Source organism: Homo sapiens, chromosome 2 (assembly GCF_000001405.40).
Source record: "Homo sapiens chromosome 2, GRCh38.p14 Primary Assembly".
NCBI classification, from domain to species: Eukaryota; Metazoa; Chordata; class Mammalia; order Primates; family Hominidae; genus Homo; species Homo sapiens.
Genome location: NC_000002.12, coordinates 65,926,359 through 65,949,213, shown reverse-complemented (window position 1 = coordinate 65,949,213; position 22,855 = coordinate 65,926,359). Strand labels below are relative to the sequence as shown.

At 41.6% G+C, this 22,855-nt stretch overlaps 1 long non-coding RNA gene across 2 annotated transcripts in view, besides 1 other annotated feature; it reads right to left on the bottom strand.

Moving 5' to 3' along the window:
- LINC02934 (long intergenic non-protein coding RNA 2934) overlaps positions 1-22,855 on the bottom strand; it is a 298,411-nt gene that overhangs the window by 139,272 nt on the left and 136,284 nt on the right. The gene's annotated exons all lie outside the window — the stretch shown is intronic.
- Positions 18,706-19,205: an enhancer, noted in NCBI's record as "H3K4me1 hESC enhancer chr2:66157143-66157642 (GRCh37/hg19 assembly coordinates)". NCBI's record gives its function as "activates a minimal SCP1, AML or CMV promoter by ChIP-STARR-seq in naive H9 embryonic stem cells {active_cell/tissue: H9 hESC(naive)}" and the evidence as "EXISTENCE:reporter gene assay evidence [ECO:0000049][PMID:30033119]".

The following is a 22,855-nucleotide window of genomic DNA, read 5'->3' as shown; positions in this document are numbered from 1 at the left end:
TTTAGTAGAGACGGGGTTTCACCTTGTTAGCCAGGATGGTCTCGATCTCCTGACCTCATGATCCACCCGCCTCGGCCTCCCAAAGTGCTGGGATTACAGGCGTGAGCCACCGCGCCCGGCCGACCATTGAACTCTTACCTGCTGAACCCAACATTAGTCTGACACTCCCAAAATACGGTACTACAGACAAATGCTACCATTAGATCTTAGTTGCCAAGGGAGTAGAAATGTGCTTGCCATCTCTAGTTGAAATTAAATGCTTACACTTTGTTCATATTCAAGGCTTAGTCCTTGACTTACCACTAATATGTTAATTCATTCATTCATTCATTCAGCATTCATTGAGCTTCTATTATATACTGAGCACTATGCTTGATACTGAAAATACAGAGGTAAACAGAAGCCACTGTCAACATGTCTAGTCTATCTAGCGCCATGAGCAGGAACCAACTAGAAACTTTTAAGAAGCCTTCCCGGCCGAGCCCCATGTCTCTTGGACCACTACTACAGTATGAACCACTAGAACTTGTCTTTTGCTTTCAAGTATAGTATTTCTCATTTCATGTATCATGCTATCTACTTGTGACCTAGGTTTATCATGTTTCTCCAAATACATTACAAGCAGCAGCCATACTTTCTACTGTTTTTTACTTCTTTATTGTCTTGGACAGAAAGATATACAGAGTAGGAACCTAAATTATTGATAAAATGATGTAAATCCATCATCGATGAACAACTTAGAAAATCCTGACACATGTAGTCTCAAATCAACAGCTTATCTAATTAACTGCCCTTGTTTGACATCTTTAACACTTGAAAATCATAGTGTTAAAAGACTCAGATGAAAACAGGCAACCATTATTCACTTCTAAATCAGGTCTCATAAGCATCAGATTGCTGACACTTAATGAATATTATCCAGTTGATAAATTAAGTACATGATATTTAATGTCTATTATTATTATGAGATAAAATTAGAACTTTTTTTCATTCATTAGGATCAAGCTTGCAGTTCTCTGAAGAACAATCATGAGTTAGTTAGCTTAAGTAAATTTTTTTTCTAAAATAAAATGTCCCTACTATATCCCAGACATTATGCTAAATGCCAAGTATACGATAAAGAGACATAGTAGGTCACAATTTAGTTGGAGAGGTAGAAATATAAACAAATTCTGCTTTGCAGTGCTAAAAGTAGAAATATTACAAGGTACAGTAATGATTAAAAAAAGAGAGAAAAATCAACTCTAAGAAGATGATGAACAGGATCTTGAGGAGTTAAAAGGTCAACAGAGGGGGAAATATTACAACATGTTTGAAAAACTGCAAGTAGTTGTATATAATTGGAGAGCAGAAGGTAAATGGGTAGTGGCTAAAGATGAATTGAGAAAGTTCACTTTTTGAAAGGTCTTTTGTGGCCAGGTAAAAAGTTGGACTTTGGCCCCATAGCTAAGGAAGCCGTCAAAGGGTTTAATGAGAAAAGAGGCATGAACTCCCCAAGGGCAGATAGGGATCAAGTCTGCTTAATTCACCACTGTGTTATTTTGTGCCTTCTGCACAGCAGGTGCTCAACAGTATGAATTGAACAAATGAATTAATCTGTTGGTGTTTTGGGATGATCACTCTAAGCATAAGTAAGCATAAGAGGAAAAGAGGAACAAATTGAAGCCAAGGAACCCAGTAGGAGCCCATATCAGGTGAAGGTGGGAAGGGAGAGATGGGTTTGATTTGAGAGTGGGGATATAGGCAGGTAACAAGATTTAGGAGGGAGAAGTTGATGAATATAGGTTTGGGCATTTTTATTGGAAATTCTTTAATGACAATCAAGTAGAGAGGTCCATTAGACATTTTGATAGAAAAGCAGAAAAGGACGGGCTCAATCTATAAATATGGGTGTCATCAGATAAATTACGTGGGCTGAAAAGGCTGCCAAGACCAGACCCAGAAGCACACCAGACTATGAAGGCTGAGGACAGGGCAAGAAGAATGCTGAGGAAGGCCAGAGAAGTGGATGAAGAATTGAAAAAGCATTGAGTCAAGATACCTAAAGGAGCAGAGATTTCACTGTTTAGAAGATACAAGACATAAACCTTTTCATTTCAACAAACAAATTCTCTGGATTCAATAATCCAAAATATCTGTTATAGGTGTACCTTCAAGGAATAAAAAATTTTACAAGAGACTGTCCTGACCTTGCAGGACCTTAAGTCTTGGGGAGATGTACATGTTAATAGACATGATACGCAGGCATCTTATTTCTCATCAACAGTGAGTAATGACTGTGGGTTGATTACATATAAAGTATTTGAGTTAATGATAGAAATGAACAAAACACTGGCAAAGAATTGGCATTAGTGTTTTGTCCTTTTAGCCTTTAAATTATATGTGGTTCGATCCCCTTAGTGGGAAGTAAAGTCAGAGGGGGCATTGCCTCCTTGAAAGCATATGTGGTGGTTTATATTTCCGGAATGTGGCCAGGACCAAATGGAACATTTACCAAAGGCAGCTGAAAGCAATATAACTGGAAGGACAGTCTGAACTGTGGTCAAAGAAGGGAGGAAAGGGCCCAAACTGGAGCAGCAGCACCAGACAATTAGGCCAAAAGGATGAAGTAAGGCTATCCAGGATAGCTTTGAATGCAGCCCAACACAAATTTGTAAATTTTCTTAAAATATTATGAGATTTTTTGTGTAAGTTTTTTCTTTTAGCTCATTAGCTATCATTAGTGTTAGTGTATTTATGTGTGGCCCAAGACAATTCTTCTTCCAATGTGATTAAGGGAAGCCAAAAGATTGGACACCCCTGACCTAAGAATTCGCAGGCTTGGATCAACAGCCTGAAACACATCAGCTTCTGCAGTTCCAGGAATGGCAAGGTCTCAATGAAAGGAGACATCTCTACGTTTGACAGGCAACTGACTCCTCCCACTGAGTGGCAGCATCCCATTTTCCCCCTTTGGAGTCTCACATTGGCCTGGGATTGCTACTGATTGTGGCCAGGGGTGGCCTATTTGTCTTTGTCTCCTAGGCTGCAATCACTGTCAAAGACTAGGTATCGATGATGTATTTGTAAATGTCTAATAGGATATTGAGTGATAGGCGTTGCTGAATATAATTCTATAGGTAAATGAATGAAATACACCAACACATACCACGGCAGCTGAAAATGAGGGTCACTTGGAAATGTATCTTATTAAAAGGGAGAGTACGGAAAACTCTGCGTGGTTTTTCCCTTCTATTCTTTTCATTTACCTTTAATTTTTTTTCCCTTGCAGGTTAAAGCTGACTCCACATCCTAAGGGACCAACACAAGCCATCAAGTTAAATGATGTCCCTGATAGCTCTGTGGATCAATAGTTATATAGGACTATTCCTCATCCGAGCTCTGTCAGGGACCAAATTATACACCGTACATGAAAAGCACCTCCTGGATTTACTGCCCTTGTACCCCCAGCCATAGCAGGTGGCTTACTGCCCTGCTTTTATTTCCTTTAAGCTTTAAATAAGCCTTTGCTACTGATTTTTTAACATTTCCAAAGTGGCAGAGCAGCAATTAGCCTAATTCTCCTCCCTTCCACAAAACTCCAATGATTTCCTTGACTTCCACAGAAACTCTTTAATGTCCTGTTTTTCTCACTAGAGATAAGAAAGTTTCTAGTCAAAAGACACACATTGGCAAAGGGATTGCAATATCATGAAGAAGTAGACAAAAACTGGGCCATTTACAGTGTTTTTGATACCCCTCGGATAATCCACTAGAATCTGGACCATCCATATTTATGGGAAGTGGCTAGTGAATGGAAAATTCTAGTTCTACTTTTGATACCCAGGTGCTGGGTAAATCACCTCATCTCTCTGTGTCTTTGTTCTTCTCTCTCTTAAACGGGAATTATTCCATGTCCATACATTAGCTAATAGAGAGAATATTAACCTAAATCAAATAGAGTACACATGAAGATATTTCATATGCTTGGGAGTGAAGGCATCCTATAAATTCTGGGTTCTATTATTATTTCATATTTCTATACTTCAGATTGAGCTGGTCTCATGAATCACTTTATAACAAAGTGGACATGAACTACATTGAACTGTTTTTTAGCATCCTATCTCCCAATTGTCTCAGATGTCTGGAATTATAGCCCTTTAAATTAACGCATGAAGCATGGCTTTAAAGAACAGAGGCTGACTCTTATCTGTGGTTAAGAGACAACATGGCATGACTTTCTCATCTGTGTCCAAGGCCGGAAGGCTCACGGAGGTCAGCGTGGTGGCCAGAGCGATGAGTTACCTTACTTCTGTGATCTTCAAATTTGTCTCAGTTTGATCCATCTTTCTTTTCTTATCTTCTTGTATATGTTCTTGGGACACTTCTGCATATTGAATAGCAATAATATCTACTGCTTTAATCATTTAAAAAATAAATAAACCAAAGACCTTGTGTTCTGTTGATCCCAACATGTAAACATGGTTTCAACATATTGTTTCCCCATGCCTTATGCTATTGTAAATATTGTTTTATGGTCTAGTGCGCTGTTATCCACTTACCATCCCAGTTAAAACTCTGTCTTATACAGCTTTAGCTATACACTTTAACAATAAGAAAAAGTGATGCACTTCTCAATTTCAAGCATAGTTCTCATTAGCTACTGTACTCCTGTATCCAAGTATATCAACCCAATGTTTTCCACACCATCCTATTCTGAGTTCCCATAATTGCATTACGGCCTGTCATTTTTAGCTCATCTTAACCAATATTTATTTAGCTAATTGAAAACATTTGAGCACCTTCTCTAAACCTGACTCAGCTATAAAATTGTGGAAAAATGGTCAGTGCTTCTTTTGTACTTCCAGGTCCAGAACATAGTTTTGTGGTGATGTATACAGGTCAATGTCTAAATGCTTGAATTTAATAAGCATTCAATTTGGCAATCTGTGTAGAAAACAAATTGCAGACTTTCATTTACTCTGCTGCCTGTAGGACAGAGGATCCTTGCCATTTTTATTCACAGAGAATCATACCCTTTCCCCAGGAATCTCTGGAATTGCTTGGGGACCTCAAGGCCTGTGTTGGGCCTTTTGGCCTCTCCTGTACTGATAGTGACAGGAGGTAGACAAATCCAAGGCAGACAGGAGCAACTCCCTGGTGAAACCTGACCTTCAAGCCTAAGATAGTTCAAAGCCTGAAAACTAAGCTACAAGTCAAATCCATGGACCAGATTGAGAACCTCTTTTCTGGTTTGGCACAGTTTCCTCTGATTGGTCCCCACCCTTCACCTATTTTACATATACCTACCCTTCCCTAATTGGTTTTTATACTGTCATGCCCACCTTTGAGTTTTGTTTTAACCTTTTTTCCATACTCACAAACCAATCAGCACACACTCCCCATTCTAAGCCCATAAAAGCCCTGGACCCAGCCACATTGAAAGAGAAGTCACCCGACGTCAAGTAGGAGACCAGCCTCATGTCCCCTCTCCCCTGAGAACTGTTCTTCACTCAATAAAATTATTCTCTGCCCTCCTCACCCTTTAATTGTCAGTGTATCCTCCTCCTTCTTGGACACAGGACAAGAGCTTGGGACCTACCAAAATGTGGGTATAGAGAAGACTGTAACACCATGGCCCTCTGCCACAGGGCAGAGCTGTTAACACGCCACCGTCCACTGGGTTGTGGATGACGGGACTAAAAGAGCTAATTAGCATGCTGTAACACTCTCTCTGGGGCTTCAGGGTCATGGGCACTCCTGCCTGGGCACCACCACAGTCCCCTCTTCTGGACACCAGAGTCTACCATAAGAGTGGCTTGCAACACGCTTGGTCTGGCCACAAGCACTGCACAGAGCCTGCCCCTATGTCAGCACTTGGAGCAGCCAGCCAGACTCCACACTCCCTCACTTACACAACCCCTCTTGCTGGGGGCTAAGCACGCAGTCGCAGCAGCCGCGGGATCCATGCTGGAATGCAGGTCAGGTACAGCCCACTGGGCCTAGTGGGCAGGGCATCTCCTGTGGCAAACCCAGGCCTGAGCAAGGCCTGGGCAAGGGTGTCACCAGCTGGGGGTCTCCAGCTGATAAGTGACCAAGAAAAATCCTGTGTCAGTAATACCCAGTGAGAATTGGCACACAGAAACACATTCCCACATTTTGTTCCTTGCATATGTCAAATATATCCCCTCTCTCTCTCCCTCTCTGTATGGTTATGAAACTTAAGTGAAGTAATAGAATAATAACTAGCATGTAGACTTTTTTAGAATTTAAGGTGCCTTTCATATCATGAGCTTTGAAATTTTGCCTGTTATTAATAATAAAAATAAATAAATGTTTTATTCAATTTTTATTTTATTTTTGGGTGCCTCGCTCTTCTGAAACACTGGTATTTCAAATGTTGATGAGTTCCTCATTTTCCCTCTGAGCTCAAAAGATTTGAATTTCCTGACCACAATCTAGCCATCAGACTGGAGTATCATTTAGATCTTATTGTTTGGATTGACTTGTATTTATTGATACCCCAATTCAACTGTACATCACCTGTAAGTTTCTTATTCCATTTAATAGCTATAGCACTGTGCTTCTGAGCTGGCAGAGAACTCAAAGTTGCCCATGCACACCAAATGGCTTATAAAGTTAAATTGGTCCTGATGTCTGCTCTTAAAGCCAAAGTCAGTGCTATTTAGTTTTCTCCTTTATGGATTCAGTCTACCAGCAGAATTATAATAGACCATGCAAGTGTCTCTGAAATAGTCACTAGTTTAGGACGATAGCCTTTAATTTGAAGGTACCTCCCCCAGCTGAAAGCTGTAATAATGGTTCATTCCATTTGGCAACAAAACAAAGAACTGGAGGATTTAAAACTGACAGATCCTCTAAGAAGTGTGAGTGACATCACATTTGCATTCTATCACATGACTGGGTGACACATCTCATCACCTATTCTGACTTTGGGGCCTTATTAATAGCTAATTTGCACACAAGCAATGGGCATGATGACCCAAATCAATCATAAGTATGATTGAAAATTCTCCCCAGGAAAATGACAAAATCCATCAGCACCCAGGTTGTGCAGATATGACAAGCTATGAAGGGCCAGACCTGGATGTGCCATGTCCTAATTTCTGAAGATTAATCCAGCTGGTCTGGCAAACTGAGGTATATGCCCTTCCTCACTGCTCTACAAACATCCTCCTCCCCCAGCAACAGCCTGCTTATTGAAGGGAATGACTTTCTCAAATGAAGAATTCCAAACTGGGGCAGGGGGCGGGGGGCGGGCAGGGTTCTAATAGTTTAAAAGTAATCATGGAAAGGCCATGGTGGCAAAGTGACTTCCAAAAGAAATGCATATTGTGCCCCTTAGACCATGTGTGGCATGTAGACATGGACTGACTGGTTTGTAGACATGAACTTCAATCCTGCATTAGCATGTAGAGAGATAACTATCAGAGTAATAGTCCTGGTCTCACGAGCCTTACTCACAAATGGTTCACATCAATTGAAGGTGAAAGCTATTGGTCTACATTTCGTAGTTAGGAGAGAATTAATTCTTAGGAACCCTAAGAATTTGATCTCTTTTCTTCTCCTCTTTTTAGGACCAGAATAATGCCACAATCCTAGATGAGTGCATCTGCTTTTAAAATGCCATTCCCATAGTCAAGACTGTAAAGGAGGGAGCAGAGCACATCAGCAAGCCCATTTGGTTGCATTTTTAATGGTTAAAGCCAGCCATTTGATTTCTATATGACTGGCTCCAATGTTGATCTTTCATTTGGCTCTGAATTCAGGCAAGGAGGAGAGAGGTGTTATCTATCAGGCTCTTCAAACCCAACATCTTCATTAGGTAGCCATGTGACTTCAGGCAACCTTAACTGATATAACAGACAAATCCCAAAATTTCATTGGCTTAGAACCTTAAAGTCATGTAATAGTTCAATTTAGCATTCCTGGTTGGGTGGCTGGCCTCAAAGGAGTGAATCAAGGGCCCAGGCTCCTTCTGTGTTCAGGTTCTATTATATTCAGCATGTGCTTTCAAACCATCATGAAAGTCAATGCATTCTAACAAGCCAAAAGGAGAAGGGAGCTGGGAAGATGCATGTAGGAGGATTTTATAGGCCAGGCCTGGAAGTAGTGCATACTACTTCTTCTCACATTTCTCTGGCTAGAACACAGTTACGTGACCACAAAAGGGAAATGGATTTGACTGTATGCTCAGTAGGAGGAGGAAATGGGTTTGATGAGCATCTAGCAGTCTCTGCCATGGTGGCAGCTAGGAAAACAAAAAGCCAGTTGATTAGGTTTCAGATAATTGCCAGCACACTTGCGTTAGGAAGGAGATACCTCAAGAATGGTAGGTATAAGAATCCTCCAAATAATCTTCTCTATATGGCAAAAAAAACCTGTTATTAGACAACTCATCAAATGGTAGAGAGATCTGCTAAAAGCAAACCTTGGGATTCACATCATCTACCACACTACAAATTTCTCTACTCAGCCAGACTTTGAATTTTAGCTGCAAAAAAAAAGCCCTTTTACATGCATTGCCTGATTTTAATCTGATTCAAACCTTATAATAATCCAAAGATGTTGGTACCATTGGCATCTCCCATGCTAAAGATGACAAACAGTAGACTTTGTGGGGAAAAAAAAAAAGTATTTTAGGAACATCACATTGAAGGGCCTATATTTGAATCCTGTTATTCCTGACTCCTACATTTAAGCTCTGAAAAAAGCATCATGTATAATTAGCAATGATCTAGATTTAGATGAGACAGGAGTACACTAATTTAATAGTAGGTTTCCGGGTGATATATATTGATGTTGTTGAATGGAGACAATCTTTCAAGAATAATGTTATAGTTCAGTTCATCCACATGTACTCCCAGACCCTGTCACTTTTGGATAACCACAGTCACAGTCCTAAATGGTTTTGATTGGCTTTGCTGTTTTTGACCTATTTGGGGATCTGCTTGTTACCTCCTTGTCCAAATTCTAACATCTTTTCTATTTATTACTCTGACCTAATTTTTGTGACAATGTGAGGAAATCTCAGCCCCAAATGTCTGCCAATGATTTGTGGATGGAAGGTAAGCATATTAGCAGGCTGTATTTAATGCAATTTGAAATTTCTTTGTCTTTCAGTAAAAGGCAGCTGTTTCCAGATGTCATGAATCAACCTTTATGTCTGACTGACATGGTGTTCGCAGGGAACATCTTGCATTACTGTCACGTGTTATTGGGAGCTCTTGGACTATATTATTTGCAAGTCAGAACCTGCAGCTTTCTAGTGAAGTGTTATTTACATTGCTTCAGTAAACTCCTGTTAAGATGACAATAGGTTGACAATTCCATGGCTCATCTGCCCAGTTGATTCTCTCACAACCACAATGCTGTAGCCATTAGATATTAGGAACTTGACAAACATTTGCCAACAATTCAATCACACATCATATTTGAGTTACACTCTTGGTGAGAGCTAAATGGTGTTATTGTCAAGCCAAGTACATTTTAGTTGGTTTTCCTGGAATTACTTATCTTAATTTTGCAAATCCTGAATTTCCTTCTATTTCTGTAATGTTTTGAGTACTGACTTAATTTTTGTGTGCATTTGTCAATTATTCCCATCAACTTATCTTCACTTAAGTCACTCAATGTAAGATATGAATTAGCTGAGCAATTTTACTGTTTAGTCTGTAAGATCTGTGGTTATTTTTATACCACATAAGCCTTTCTAGGCTTTTGGTGGCTTTCCCAATTTTCCATCCCTTTGTTTTACTGTTTTTTACCCTATTCACCCATTTACTCCTATAATGCAAGTTAATGTAAGTCACTTTTCCTACTGCTCTAATAACCTAATAGTAAATGTTTTATGCATATTATTTTATACCTGCCATGTCATTTGTCTATGGAGGTAATGCATATTATTATAATAGCTTGATTACTATAGAGTAGGAAATTTTGGAAGCATGATGTCTTTAAGCAGGTCAGAGTATGAAAAATATTCAAGGCCACAATGAGTATAATTCTTGCAAACAAGTGTTAGGTGCCATGATTTTCAGAAACAATCAGTTTAGTTACATTTTTGTACCTTTCCTTCTTTTTTTTTTTTTTTTTTTTTTTTTAAGACAGAGTCTTGCTCTGTCGTCCAGGCTGGACTGCAGTGGCGTGATCGTGGCTCACTGCAACCTCCACCTCACAGGTTCAAGCGATTCTCCTGCCTCAGCTTCCTGAGTAGCTGGGACTACAGGCACTTGCCACCACCGCTGGCTAATTTTTTGTATTTTTAGTAGAGACGGGGTTTTGCCATGTTAGCCAGGATGGTCTCAATCTCCTGACCTCATGATCTGCCTGCCTCAGCCTCCCAAAGTGCTGGGATTACAGGCATGAGCCACTGCACCCAGCCTCCTTCGTTTTTTCAAGCTGTACAATGCCCTCTACCCTTCTCCACTTTTCCATTCATTGTTCCAGATTTGAGCTCTCACATGATAGTATATCCATTTCTGACTCAATAACTAGGCTTCTCTTTACCATGATCACCTTCAGATTCACCACATTTTACTCACTTAGCCTGGCTGTCAGCTCAAGATACTTGGTAATAAAATGTGGCTACCTTGCAGGTCTGCATATGGTCACTTCAATTCCCAATAGAGAGGTATCCAAATAACTGTGCATCTATTGGGTCTCCTTTAATACTCTGTCAGCAATCCCACTCAAGTAGATGACTGACTGTCCACCAGAACACTTGGGACAGTCACAGTTCACTGGGCTTCAGTGCTTCTTAAATCTCTGGTTCCAGACCATCAGGCCAATTCGGCCACTTGCAACTCTTTCCAGCATCTAAGGCCATTTCTGAGTGAAAGGTTTATCCATCTCCCTCTAGACTCACCTCTAATACTCCTTTTCCCTGGCAATGTGGCTACTGGCCCCATGAGGAGCTCCTAAGACTTTATGGGGTCTCCGAGCTCTGTGAAGTGACTGTGGCACAGCTTGCCTCTCATGCACAAGGACACTGAGCTGGGTTTTAAGAGGCTTCTAATTAGTATAATTACTTTATTTTGATTGCTGAGGTTAACAACATGGGCAATGCCCAAGTATATTATCATCATCAATTGATGAGTTGAAATTTTAAAAATCTGATTATATGACATGTGTTCAGCCATATCACCCTCTGCGCTGCTGTTGGGGAATTACTAATGCCCTTAAAATGCTTAAATAATTTTGCCCATGATGCTATGCCAGGTGTGAGCAAACCTAAAGAAATGAATTCCCTGAATGCTTTGCTGTGTGGGTGTGTTTGGTTTTGCACGGGTGCCTATTTTTAAATGCTATCCAAGACAGCAGGAAGCTCATCATTCAGTTGATCAGGAGCATGTCAGCTGAGTTCACAATATCTTTGTGAGAAAGACATTAGAGTTAATTCTTGACACCTAAAATGTAAATACTGGTTGAGTATTTCTTATCCAGTATTCCTTATTCCTTCTGCTTGGGACCAGAAGTGTACTGAATTTCGGATTTTGGGGGATTTGGGAATTTTTGTATATACATAATGAGATACCTTGGGGATGCACCTACATCTAAACATGAAATTTATTTAGGTTTCATATACCTTATACACATAGCCTAAAGGTACTTTTATGTACTATTTTTAGTAATTTTGTGCAAGGAACAAAGTTTTGACTGTGACTCATCACATGAGGTCAGATGTGTAATTTTATACTATTGGCATCATGTCAGTGCTCAAACATTTTCAGATTTCAGATTTTTGAACTAGGGATATCCAACCTGTACTACTTGGAGAGGTAGACTTTCAATCAATCACATCTTAGCCTAAGGTAGTTATAAAAGTTTGCTGGATTTCTTACACCTACTCCAGATAAGCATGGGAAGGTCAGGAGGGGGAGCTACAGGTGAACAGGTCTCATAACCCTCTGATCTTCAAAAATTAAGACCTTTCTTCAGAGAGGCCCAGGAGCCCAGAATTCTGGTTTTAGCTAGCCACACCACCCCACAAGTGGTCCAGAAATCTATACACACAGAGGACAATGGCGAGAACATTCATCCTTTGCTAGTAGCTGATGCTTTGGCCCCAAACCATAAGGTAGATCTCTAACCCTAGTTAGCTCTGCTGCCTGTCAGAACTCCCCTTTGCTAGACTGGGAAGGTTGAAGTGCTTGCTTTCCCTTGAACGTTACTTTAGCTTTCACTTAGCTTTTTAAAGGAAGTGGGAAGAGGACTACCTCTTTCATCATGGAAAAAGGGTACTTCTTACCTCTGGCCTCCTAAAGGGCAAAGCTTATAAAGAAAGAGTAGGCAATACATGGGGAGAGACAGAAATAGGCAGACAGATTCTACCAGGCCAGGACTCTCTATGCATAGTCAAGCACAGCCAAGTCTCCACACAGCCTCTGCCTTGTTCCTCTAGGTCCTTGGAAGGAATTGTATCCGGAAAGACTAAGGGAGTGGTTGCCACAAAATGGGCTTATTTACCCCATTCTAGATAAGACTCTATCTCTTAGAAAATGAGACCCAATGAATGCCTTCAAGCCTGACCATCCATGCATAGTTAAATTCTTCCTCTTTGGAGGTGGAATCAAAGTGTGGCTGGGGGAGCTAGGAGCCTCCCTTGCAGACAATTAATTAAAATAATTGACAGGGTTTCAATGGAAGAATGGAGGAGCGAGGAGTCAAGCCATTCTCGATGTGAGGCCTTTAAGGGGAAATAGGTCAAATGGACACATAGTGTAACCAGGAGGCAACCTGAATGCTCAGGGCATGAGGAAAACGGGATCAAGGAATCATAAAGGAGCACAGAAAGTGGCTGTGAGAGAGCGAAAGACTTATTTTCAAACTTGCTTAGACCAGCCTAATGTCTGAAGGTCTCTTAACATCAACAGCTCTGTCACCAAGGTAGATATCCCTGCTCTCCAGGGATGACCCCTCAGTCAGCTCTCTTACAGAGACATCCACCCACACCCAGAGCCTCTAAGCCAAGAACCAACTCTTCAAATTGCTTCTCAGGCCAGTTTAAATTATGGCATTTTATTTCACAGCCCCAACCTATACAAATCAGAGGATGCTGAGAAGATCTGAAGAAAACTCAGAAGATAGCTGCCACTGTGGATTTATGACCAAAGCTTCAGGAAGTAAGACAGGCTGCAGCAAGAGGTAGGTAGTTTGAGCAGGTTGATACTTTCTGGAAAAATTAAAAGCCACTATTTGAGATTCACTATACAATCATGTAGGCTCCACTTCAATATCCTGTGCAGGTTAATAATGGAAAGGGTTTTCACACGTGGGGGATATTTCCCACATTGCCATGCTAGGACCCTTGGTAGCAAGTTCAGCATTCTTGTCTACCAAAAATTTCTTCCCAACTACCCTTGCTTTGTCCCAAACCTGTGAACAAGCCCATTATTGGATTGATTTCATGAATCAATGGTTCATGAATGCTTTCTACTAAAGAGGAAAGAGGCTGTAAAATGGCCCCAGAACTGCCGGCAGGAGTGTGGAAGAAGGTCTTAGGAAACTTCACCTAGCATATAGACAGCAAAACCCTTTATTCAATCTTTATTCTTGAAGATTTTTGCCTGGTGTGTCCTTGGGAGAGGATAGCCATAGAGGGAATGTAAGCCAAGATTAAATCAGGAAATACAGAATTATTGCATTCAGGCTGAAAGCAGTTAATTTAGAATGCTTTAGGTAAAAGTGTTTGATTAGGAAAGTAGCTGGGGAAGAAGTTTCCAAAGTAAATTTGCCCTTGGTATGAGGATACAAATGCAAGGCTGGCTGCTCCTCAACAGGGAAGTTTCTTCAGCTTTCATCATCCCTTTGAATTGGGGTCAGTCCCAGGGATGCGTCTACAACTCTAAAGATATACATATGTGGCATCAACTGAATGGGGCAGCTTGCTGGCAAGCCATGAAAATAACTGCCCACCCAGCAGAGCTTGTCTCCAGATCTCACAACCTGCCTTTGTCCTTCTGGCTCTCCTTCCCTCCACTATTTTGTCTCATCTTAGTTCCTTTTCCTCTTCCTCTTTTCTCCTCTGTGTGTCCTGGGCTCTTCCCTGTGGGGCTGATTTGACAACAGCAGCCAAGTTTTAGCTTCTTAATTTGTTTCTCTTAGAGTTTTCCACTGTAAAACCTTCGGGTTTCCTCTCCTATTACAATTCCGATTAAGTGGCTCCTGTCTTGCCTCCCTCCTAGGCTTGTTATAAGGACAGAAGATGATTGGGTTCTTCATGTCTATAATGGGCCCAGAACTCCCCAGAGGGATGTTTTATACTTAAGGCAACAAAAATAACTCTCATTACAATTAATAAAAGAAAAATGAGGCTCCCCATGTAGAATCTAAATAAGCCTCCGGTATATTAAACATTCAGGAAAGGGATTTGCTGAAGCTCAGCCTGTTATGGCCCAGGAGGGGCATCATTATTAATGGCGCTGGGAAGCAGGTAACACTGGGTGGTGTTTAGGGTTGCTATGTGCCACCACATCCTGGAATATTTCCAGCAAGCTCTCACTCCTACATTAAACGGCCCCATCCTGGAAGGAGAGGTGATTCTCTGGCAACCATTCTCTAATGCCCTGTCCCTCCCCTCCACTAGGTGTAAGGCTTGGAGAGGCACTTTTAATATACTCATCATATTTAACCTTATGCTTGCTCCAATATAGGACACTTTTCCCCAAACAATAATGTAGCTTTGAAATGAGATGACCCATGGTTTGAATCCAGCCTGTGCTGTGATATTTCAGTGATTCTGGCCAAACTATGTAACCTCTTTGAACCTCAGCGTCTGCACTTGGAGATTAGGATTATGTGTTTGTCCTTTTTTGCTGCACAACAAATAATCTCAAAAATCTCAGTCCCTTAAAAAGCAGTTATTCTCTCGCTCACAGATTTGCCAGTAGTTGAAGGTCCACTGGGATTGACTGGAGTCAGCAGGGCTGAGCTCCAGGCTGTGGGTTGATCTTCTTGGACCAGCAGCAACACAGGGATGCTCTTCTCATGGCAAGCCACAGGAGCACAGAGGGGCAAGCCAGGCTGTGCAAACATATCTAAAGGCAAGTCACATCTCTGAAGATCCAATTGGACAAAGCAGTAACATAACCAAATCTCAAGCCAAGTTGGGAGAAAGTGCACTCTGCCCCCATGAAGCCTTTGTAAATCCATAGAGGGAGTGAAGAACTGAGATTCAAACTACCACAGTCAAAATAACTATCTCATAAAGGTGTTGTGAAGATTAACGAGACCAAAATATCTAAAGCCCAGGACAGTATAGGAGTTAAATAAGTGATGGCTATTATTATGGGTTAACAGTTTTTCTAATATCTATGCCTATCAACACACAAGTGTTAAAATGAGACTGTTAGACATTAATTTATAATCTCTTAATGAATTTTATTAACTGTAATTACTAAAACATAGCCCAAGGCTTGTGTTCTCTGTCTCTATGCAATTCTGATGATACAAGGAAGCCAGGGTAAGCTACCAAGGGGCTCTACACAAACTCAGAAGCTTGAGAGGCTTGGCTTTCAAACACCCAGTCTCCCTATTCTGAGCAGCTTCCTCCAATTGCTCTGGCCTTATTTAACACAGCAAAAGGCCTCTAAACACTTAGTTCTATGTCTCTGCCTTAATTAGAAACCATTAGTACCTCTGGAAAATTGACGCTCCGTTCTCTATATTCAGAGGGCTAATGGGGGAGCAGGTATGGTGGTATGATGGTTGATGTATAGTTTCCTCTCACATAATTTTGTCTTTTTTTTCTCCTCTTCCTATAGGGAAGGACTTTTTGGTTTATAGGGTCCAATAGTTGGGGGCAGGTGTGTTGTAATCTCTCAGGATGATCTTAGAGCCCCTTTTCCTGGATCCACAGCCCATCCCTCCTGCTCCATTTCACATACACAGTACCCTTCCTCCCACCCATCTTTCTCGGGGAACCTAAAACCAAGTTACCTTCAAAATCGGGAATCACAGACCATTCAAGTTAGCAGGTACCTGTGAGGTTTCAGAACATCTCAAGCACCCTAGAAGAGTGAAGTCTTTTAACCTGCCATGACACTCCTGGGTTGAACTATCCACTCCTTCCCCTCTCAGCTGGACTCAGGTCATGTTATTTGAATTCTTTAGGACATCTTCTTAGCAATTACAAAACTGGATTTAAAACACCTGCCTTATAATGTCACTGATGGAATCGCATGAGATCATTGACTGCTGAGAAAATGTTTATCAAGTGCTCGTGTGTGTCTGGCCCTAAGAATGGAAACAGGGCCACTTCCCTCCAGAGTTTACAGAATGGTCCTACACACAGAGTGGGAGCCCATCACTATTATTTTCATTTGCATTGATCTAGTGGTAAGGCGCACTGTAGTTAACAAGTGGCACAGTCAGAGCACCCATCTACAGGAACAAACAGCAGTCTTGGAGCTGTAGCAGCCTTGCAGGAGGCCACCTGTTATGCCAGGATGATCAGGACATCCTGGGGGCCCAGAGGTAATGACCAGAGAGGCTGTGGTAGCATGACCACACAGGAAATGTGAGGCAGCAGCTCCTTACCACCCAGTAGAGAAGTGTTTCCACATTTTAACAAGTGGTATGTCATTACCAGTGATATTATTACATTTTAAAAGATAAACATGAAGTTATCATTTAAAGTCATATCATGCACTATTATCATTTCATATTTCTCTTTTCTACCTAAATGCTACAATAAAGGAAAAACGCTGCCTTCCTTTATTGCAATGTATATTGCTTTTACTGACCAAAGATGTAAGGAAAATTTATCCTGAGTGAAGCTGATATTTCCAGTTCTGGCTTTGAAATGTGTACCTGGTATGGCCAAGGAGAAGCCATCCTGCCACAGGCACCAAAGATCCCTCCCCAATTGTCACACACAAGCAGACTCAATTGGCTCCAAAGTCAACATTGAAGGAAGCATCTGTAGTTGAGTGTCAGGGATTCCAAGCCAATCCATTTGGATGCTCCACCCTCCCAAGAGCCTCCAGGGCAGTCCTCTTTGAGGATTCACTTCCTCGTGGATGTCTGAAGTTTTTCCCTGAAGCCCTCAAGTTGATAAATGACAAAGAGGGGATAAGGGGTACCAACTGTAGAAGGAAGGGGAAAAGCACAAGAGATCTGTTAAAGAAAAGAGGAAGAAACCTCCATGACATTTACTCCAACCACAGTAAAACACTGGCTTGAAGCAGCACCAGCCTTCTGCCAGTATCATGTGTTTACATGGCAGCATTTACCCCTTCTGCAAAATACCGAGGACTGAGGTAAATGAAGTAACATATTTCAACCAAAAAAAAAAAAAATTCTAGTCAATGAAGAGTGAAGAATTGGAAAATTCCCATGCATAATGCAGAAGATTCTTGCAAGGATGTCAGCAAGTAATGGCACATTCTTACCTAATTCTGGCTTAGGGTCGTGGCAGTTCAGGGCTTAAAGAAATCATTTGGTCCATTTAATCTGGAAAACTGAAGGCCAGAGAGGTAAAGTACTAACTGAGCACTCCTAATCCTCAACCTAGAGGCTGTTTACGTCGTACAAACATTTCTTTCTCCCAACTGTGGAAAACAAGCATATACAGAAAAAAAAAAAAAAGGAAGACATTGAGGAATAATCAATGCATCATGAGATAGGCATTCTTGGAAAAGATTTGTGATAAAATATTCTCCAAAGAATATACAAACACAGACACTTAAGACTATTATTCTAGTTGCCAAGACAACAAAAGAATAAAATCAGAGAAAGAAATAACCCAGAAATCTTCCCAAAACTTCTACATCCAAAGCACATCAAGACTAAGTGTGAGGCCCCTCTCGCCTGGGGATTGTCGACCCAAAGACAGCACCCAGAACCAAGGTATGTGCCTCTGATCACAGAAACCTGGGCTGCCCACAACCCAGGAAGTACTACAGACTAAAAGTATTCAACAACAGTGTGCAGGAGGTCAGAGTGATCAGAAGACTAATTCCATTCACATGTGCCTAGAGATTTGTTTAGGGAGAAACAATCCAAAGGCCAACTGCAGAGTTCATTAGAATAGCACTGAGGTTTGTGTGCATGTCTAATCATGAGATTAGCAAATTACATGCCTGGTGCACGGACCATATGACCGTTGTGGGATTGTGGAACAACTGAGAGCATTTGGGAGAAACACTGAGAATGGCAAATTCACCGAGCAGAAGGCCAGCTTCCAAAGTTCTTGCACAGGGCAGATGAGCAGCAGTGATGAGCAATGTGTTATTGAGCATCTTCTAAGCCTGGGGCACTGAACTAGGCACTGGGGGAGAATTAATTTCCTCCCAAAGTCACCATAGAGGAAACTGCGTTAACTCCTTTAATGAATGGGCAGCCCTCAAAGGAGGCTCTAAATGTTTATCATTAAAGGCAGGCCAGAGACTGCAGAGGGGAAGCCAGTTGGGAACAAATCTCCTTTCACCCCTGTCTGCCTGGCTGTGCCACCTCCAGGCTCTAGGAACTCAGGGAATAAAAAGAACTGGAGGTTCTTGAACTTTTAATGGCCCAAGTAATTAACTAATACCAATTCATTAAACAGACAAAACATTAACAGGGTCACTGATGATGAGTAAAGAAAGAAAGAGCTAAGTTACACATCATTCCTACTCTGTCTTCCATCTAGCTCTGGTTTCTACCCTTCTGTCATTGTACTCATCATTTCCACACATGAACATGGGCAAGCACACACACACATGCATATACACATGCATGCATGTGTATGTATGTATGCACACATGCATATACACATACACACATGCATGGATGCACGTGCATGCACATACACATATACAGATACACACATATGCATACAAAGAATTATCATTTTGTAGTAGCAAAAAGACTTGGGCAAAATTAAGTCCTGGGGCTGGAGCCAAGATGGCCGAATAGGAACAGCTCCAGTCTACAGCTCCCAGCGTGAGCGACACAGAAGATGGGTGATTTCTGCATTTCCATCTGAGGTACCAGGTTCATCTCACTAGGTAGTGCCAGACAGTGGGCACAGGACAGTGGGTGCAGCGCACCATGCACGAGCCGAAGCAGGGCAAGGCATTGCCTCACTCGGGAAGTGCAAGGGGTCAGGGAGTTCCCTTTCCTAGTCAAAGAAAGGGGTGACAGACAGCACCTGGAAAATCGGGTCACTCTCACCCCAATACTGCACTTTTCCCATGGGCTTAAAAAACGGCGCACCAGGAGATTATATCCCACACATGGCTCGGAGGGTCCTACGCCCAAGGAGTCTCGCTGATTGCTAGCACAGCAGTCTGAGATCAAACTGCAAGGCGGCAGCCAGGCTGGGGGAGGGGCGCCCGCCATTGCCCAGTCTTGCTTAGGTAAACACAGCAGCCAGGAAGCTCGAACTGGGTGGAGCCCACCACAGCTCAAAGAGGCCTGCCTGCCTCTGTAGGCTCCACCTCTGGGGGCAGGCCACAGACAAACAAAAAGACAGCAGTAACCTCTGCAGACTTAAATGACCCTGTCTGACAGCTTTGAAGAGAGCAGTGGTTCTCCCAGCACGCAGCTGGAGATCTGAGAATGGGCAGACTGACTCCTCAAGTGGGTCCCTGACCCCTGACCCCTGAGCAGCCTAACTGGGAGGCACCCCCCAGTATGGACAGACTGACACCTCACACAGCCAGGTACTCCTCTGAGACAAAACTTCCAGAGGAACGATCAGACAGCAGCATTCGCGGTTCACGAAAATCCACTGTTCTGCAGTTACCGCTGCTGGTACCCAGGCAAACAGGGTCTGGAGTGGACCTCTAGCAAACTCCAACAGACCTGCAGCTGGGGATCCTGTCTGTTAGAAGGAAAACTAACAAACAGAAAGGACATCCACACCAAAAACCCATCTGTACATCACCATCATCAAAGACCAAAAGTAGATAAAACCACAAAGATGGGGAAAAAACAGAGCAGAAAAACTGGAAACTCTAAAAAGCAGAGTGCCTCTCCCCCTCCAAAGCAACGCAGCTCCTCACCAGCAATGGAACAAAGCTGGACGGAGAACGACTTTGACCAGTTGACAGGAGAAGGCTTCAGACGATCAAACTACTCCAAGCTACAGGAGGAAATTCAAACCAAAGCCAAAGAAGTTGAAAACTTTGAAAAAAATTTAGACGAATGTATAACTAGAATAACCAATACAGAGAAGTGCTTAAAGGAGCTGATGGAGCTGAAAGCCAAGGCTCGAGAACTACGTGAAGAATGTAGAAGCCTCAGGAGCCGATGCGATCAACTGCAAGAAAGGGAATCAGTGATGGAAGACGAAATGAATGAAATGAAGCGAGCAGTGAAGTTTACAAAAAAAAGAATAAAAAGAAATGAACAAACCCTCCAAGAAATACGGACTATGTAAAAAGACCAAATCTACGTCTGATTGGTGTACCTGAAAGTGACGGGGAGAATGGAACCAAGTTGGAAAACACTCTGCAGGATATTATCCAGGAGAACTTCCCCAATCTAGCAAGGCAGGCCAACATTCAGATTCAGGAAATACAGAGAACGCCACAAAGATACTCCTTGAGAAGAGCAACACCAAGACACATAATTGCTAGATTCACCGAAGTTGAAATGAAGGAAAAAATGCTAAGGTCAGCCAGATGGAAAGGTCAGGTTACCCACAAAAGGAAGCCCATCAGACTAACAGTGGATCTCTTGGCAGAAACTCTACAAGCCAGAAGAAAGTGGGGGCCAATACTCAACATTCTTAAAGAAAAGAATTCTCAACCCAGAATTTCATATCCAGCCAAACTAAGCTTCATAAGTGAAGGAGAAATAAAATACTTTATAGACAAGCAAATGCTGAGAGATTTTGTCACCACCAGGCCTGCCCTAAAAGAGCTCCTGAAGGAAGCACTAAACATGGAAAGGAACAACCAGTACCAGCCGCTGCAAAATCATGCCAAATTGTAAAGACCATCGAGGCTAGGAAGAAACTGCATTAACTAATGAGCAAAATAACCACCTAACATCATAATGACAGGATCAAATTCACACATAACAATATTAACTTTAAATGTAAATGGACTAAATGCTCCAATTAAAAGGCACAGATGGGCAAATTGGATAAAGAGTCAAGACCCATCAGTGTGCTGTATTCAGGAAACCCATCTCACATGCAGAGACACACAAAGGCTCAAAGTAAAAGGATGGAGGAAGATCTACCAAGCAAATGGAAAACAAAAAAAGGCAGGGGTTGCAATCCTAGTCTCTGATAAAACAGACTTTAAACCAACAAAGATCAAAAGAGACAAAGAAGGCCATTACATAATGGTAAAGGGATCAATTCAACAAGAAGAACTAACTATCCTAAATACATATGCACCCAATACAGGAGCACCCAGATTCATAAAACAAGTCCTGAGTGACCGACAAAGAGACTTAGACTCCCACACATTAATAATGGGAGACTTTAACACCCCACTGTCAACATTAGACAGATCAACGAGACAGAAAGTTAACAAGGATACCCAGGAATTGAACTCAGCTCTGCACCAAGCAGACATAATAGACATCTACAGAACTCTCCACCCCAAATCAACAGAATATACATTCTTTTCAGCACCACACCACCCCTATTCCAAAATTGACCACATACTTGGAAGTAAAGCTCTCCTCAGCAAATGTAAAAGAACAGAAATTATAACAAACTGTCTCTCAGACCACAGGCAATCAAACTAGAACTCAGGATTAAGAAACACACTCAAAACCACTCAACTACGTGGAAACTGAACAACCTGCTCCTGAATGACTACTGGGTACATAACGAAAAGAAGGCAGAAATAAAGATGTTCTTTGAAACCAATGAGAACAAAGACACAACACACCAGAATCTCTGGGACATATTCAAAGCAATGTGTAGAGGGAAATTTATAGCACTAAATGCCCACAAGAGAAAGCAGGAAAGATCCAAAATTGACACCCTAACATCACAATTAGAAGAACTAGAAAAGCAAGAGCAAACACATTCAAAAGCTAGCAGAAGGCAAGAAATAACTAAAATCAGAGCAGAACTGAAGGAAATAGAGACACAAAAAACCCTTCAAAAAATTAATGAATCCAGGAGCTGGTTTTTTGAAAGGATCAACAAAATTGATAGACCGCTAGCAAGACTAATAAAGAAGAAAAGAGAGAAGAATCAAATAGACACAATAAAAAATGATAAAGGGGATATCACCACCGATCCCACAGAAATACAAACTACCATCAGACAATACTACAAACACCGCTACGCAAATAAACTAGAAAATCTAGAAGAAATGGATAAATTCCTCGACACTTACACCCTCCCAAGACTAAACCAGGAAGAAGTTGACTCTCTAAATAGACCAATAACAGGCTCTGAAATTGTGGCAATAATCAATAGCTTACCAACCAAAAAGAGTCCAGGATCAGATGGATTCACAGCCGAATTCTACCCGAGGTACAAGGAGGAAGTGGTACCATTCCTTCTGAAACTATTCCAATCAATAGAAAAAGAGGGAATCCTCCCTAACTCATTTTATGAGGCCAGCATCATCCTGATACCAAAGCCTGCCAGAGACACAACCAAAAAAGAGAATTTTAGACCAATATCCTTGATGAACATTGATGCAAAAATCCTCAATAAAATACTGGCAAACCGAATCCAGCAGCACATCAAAAAGCTTATCCACCATGATCAAGTGGGCTTCATCCCTGGGATGCAACGCTGGTTCAATATACACAAATCAATAAATGTAAGCCAGCATATAAACAGAACCAAAGACAAAAACCACATGATTATCTCAATAGATACAGAAAAGGCCTTTGACAAAATTCAACAACCCTTCATGCTAAAAACTCTGAATAAATGAGGTATTGATGG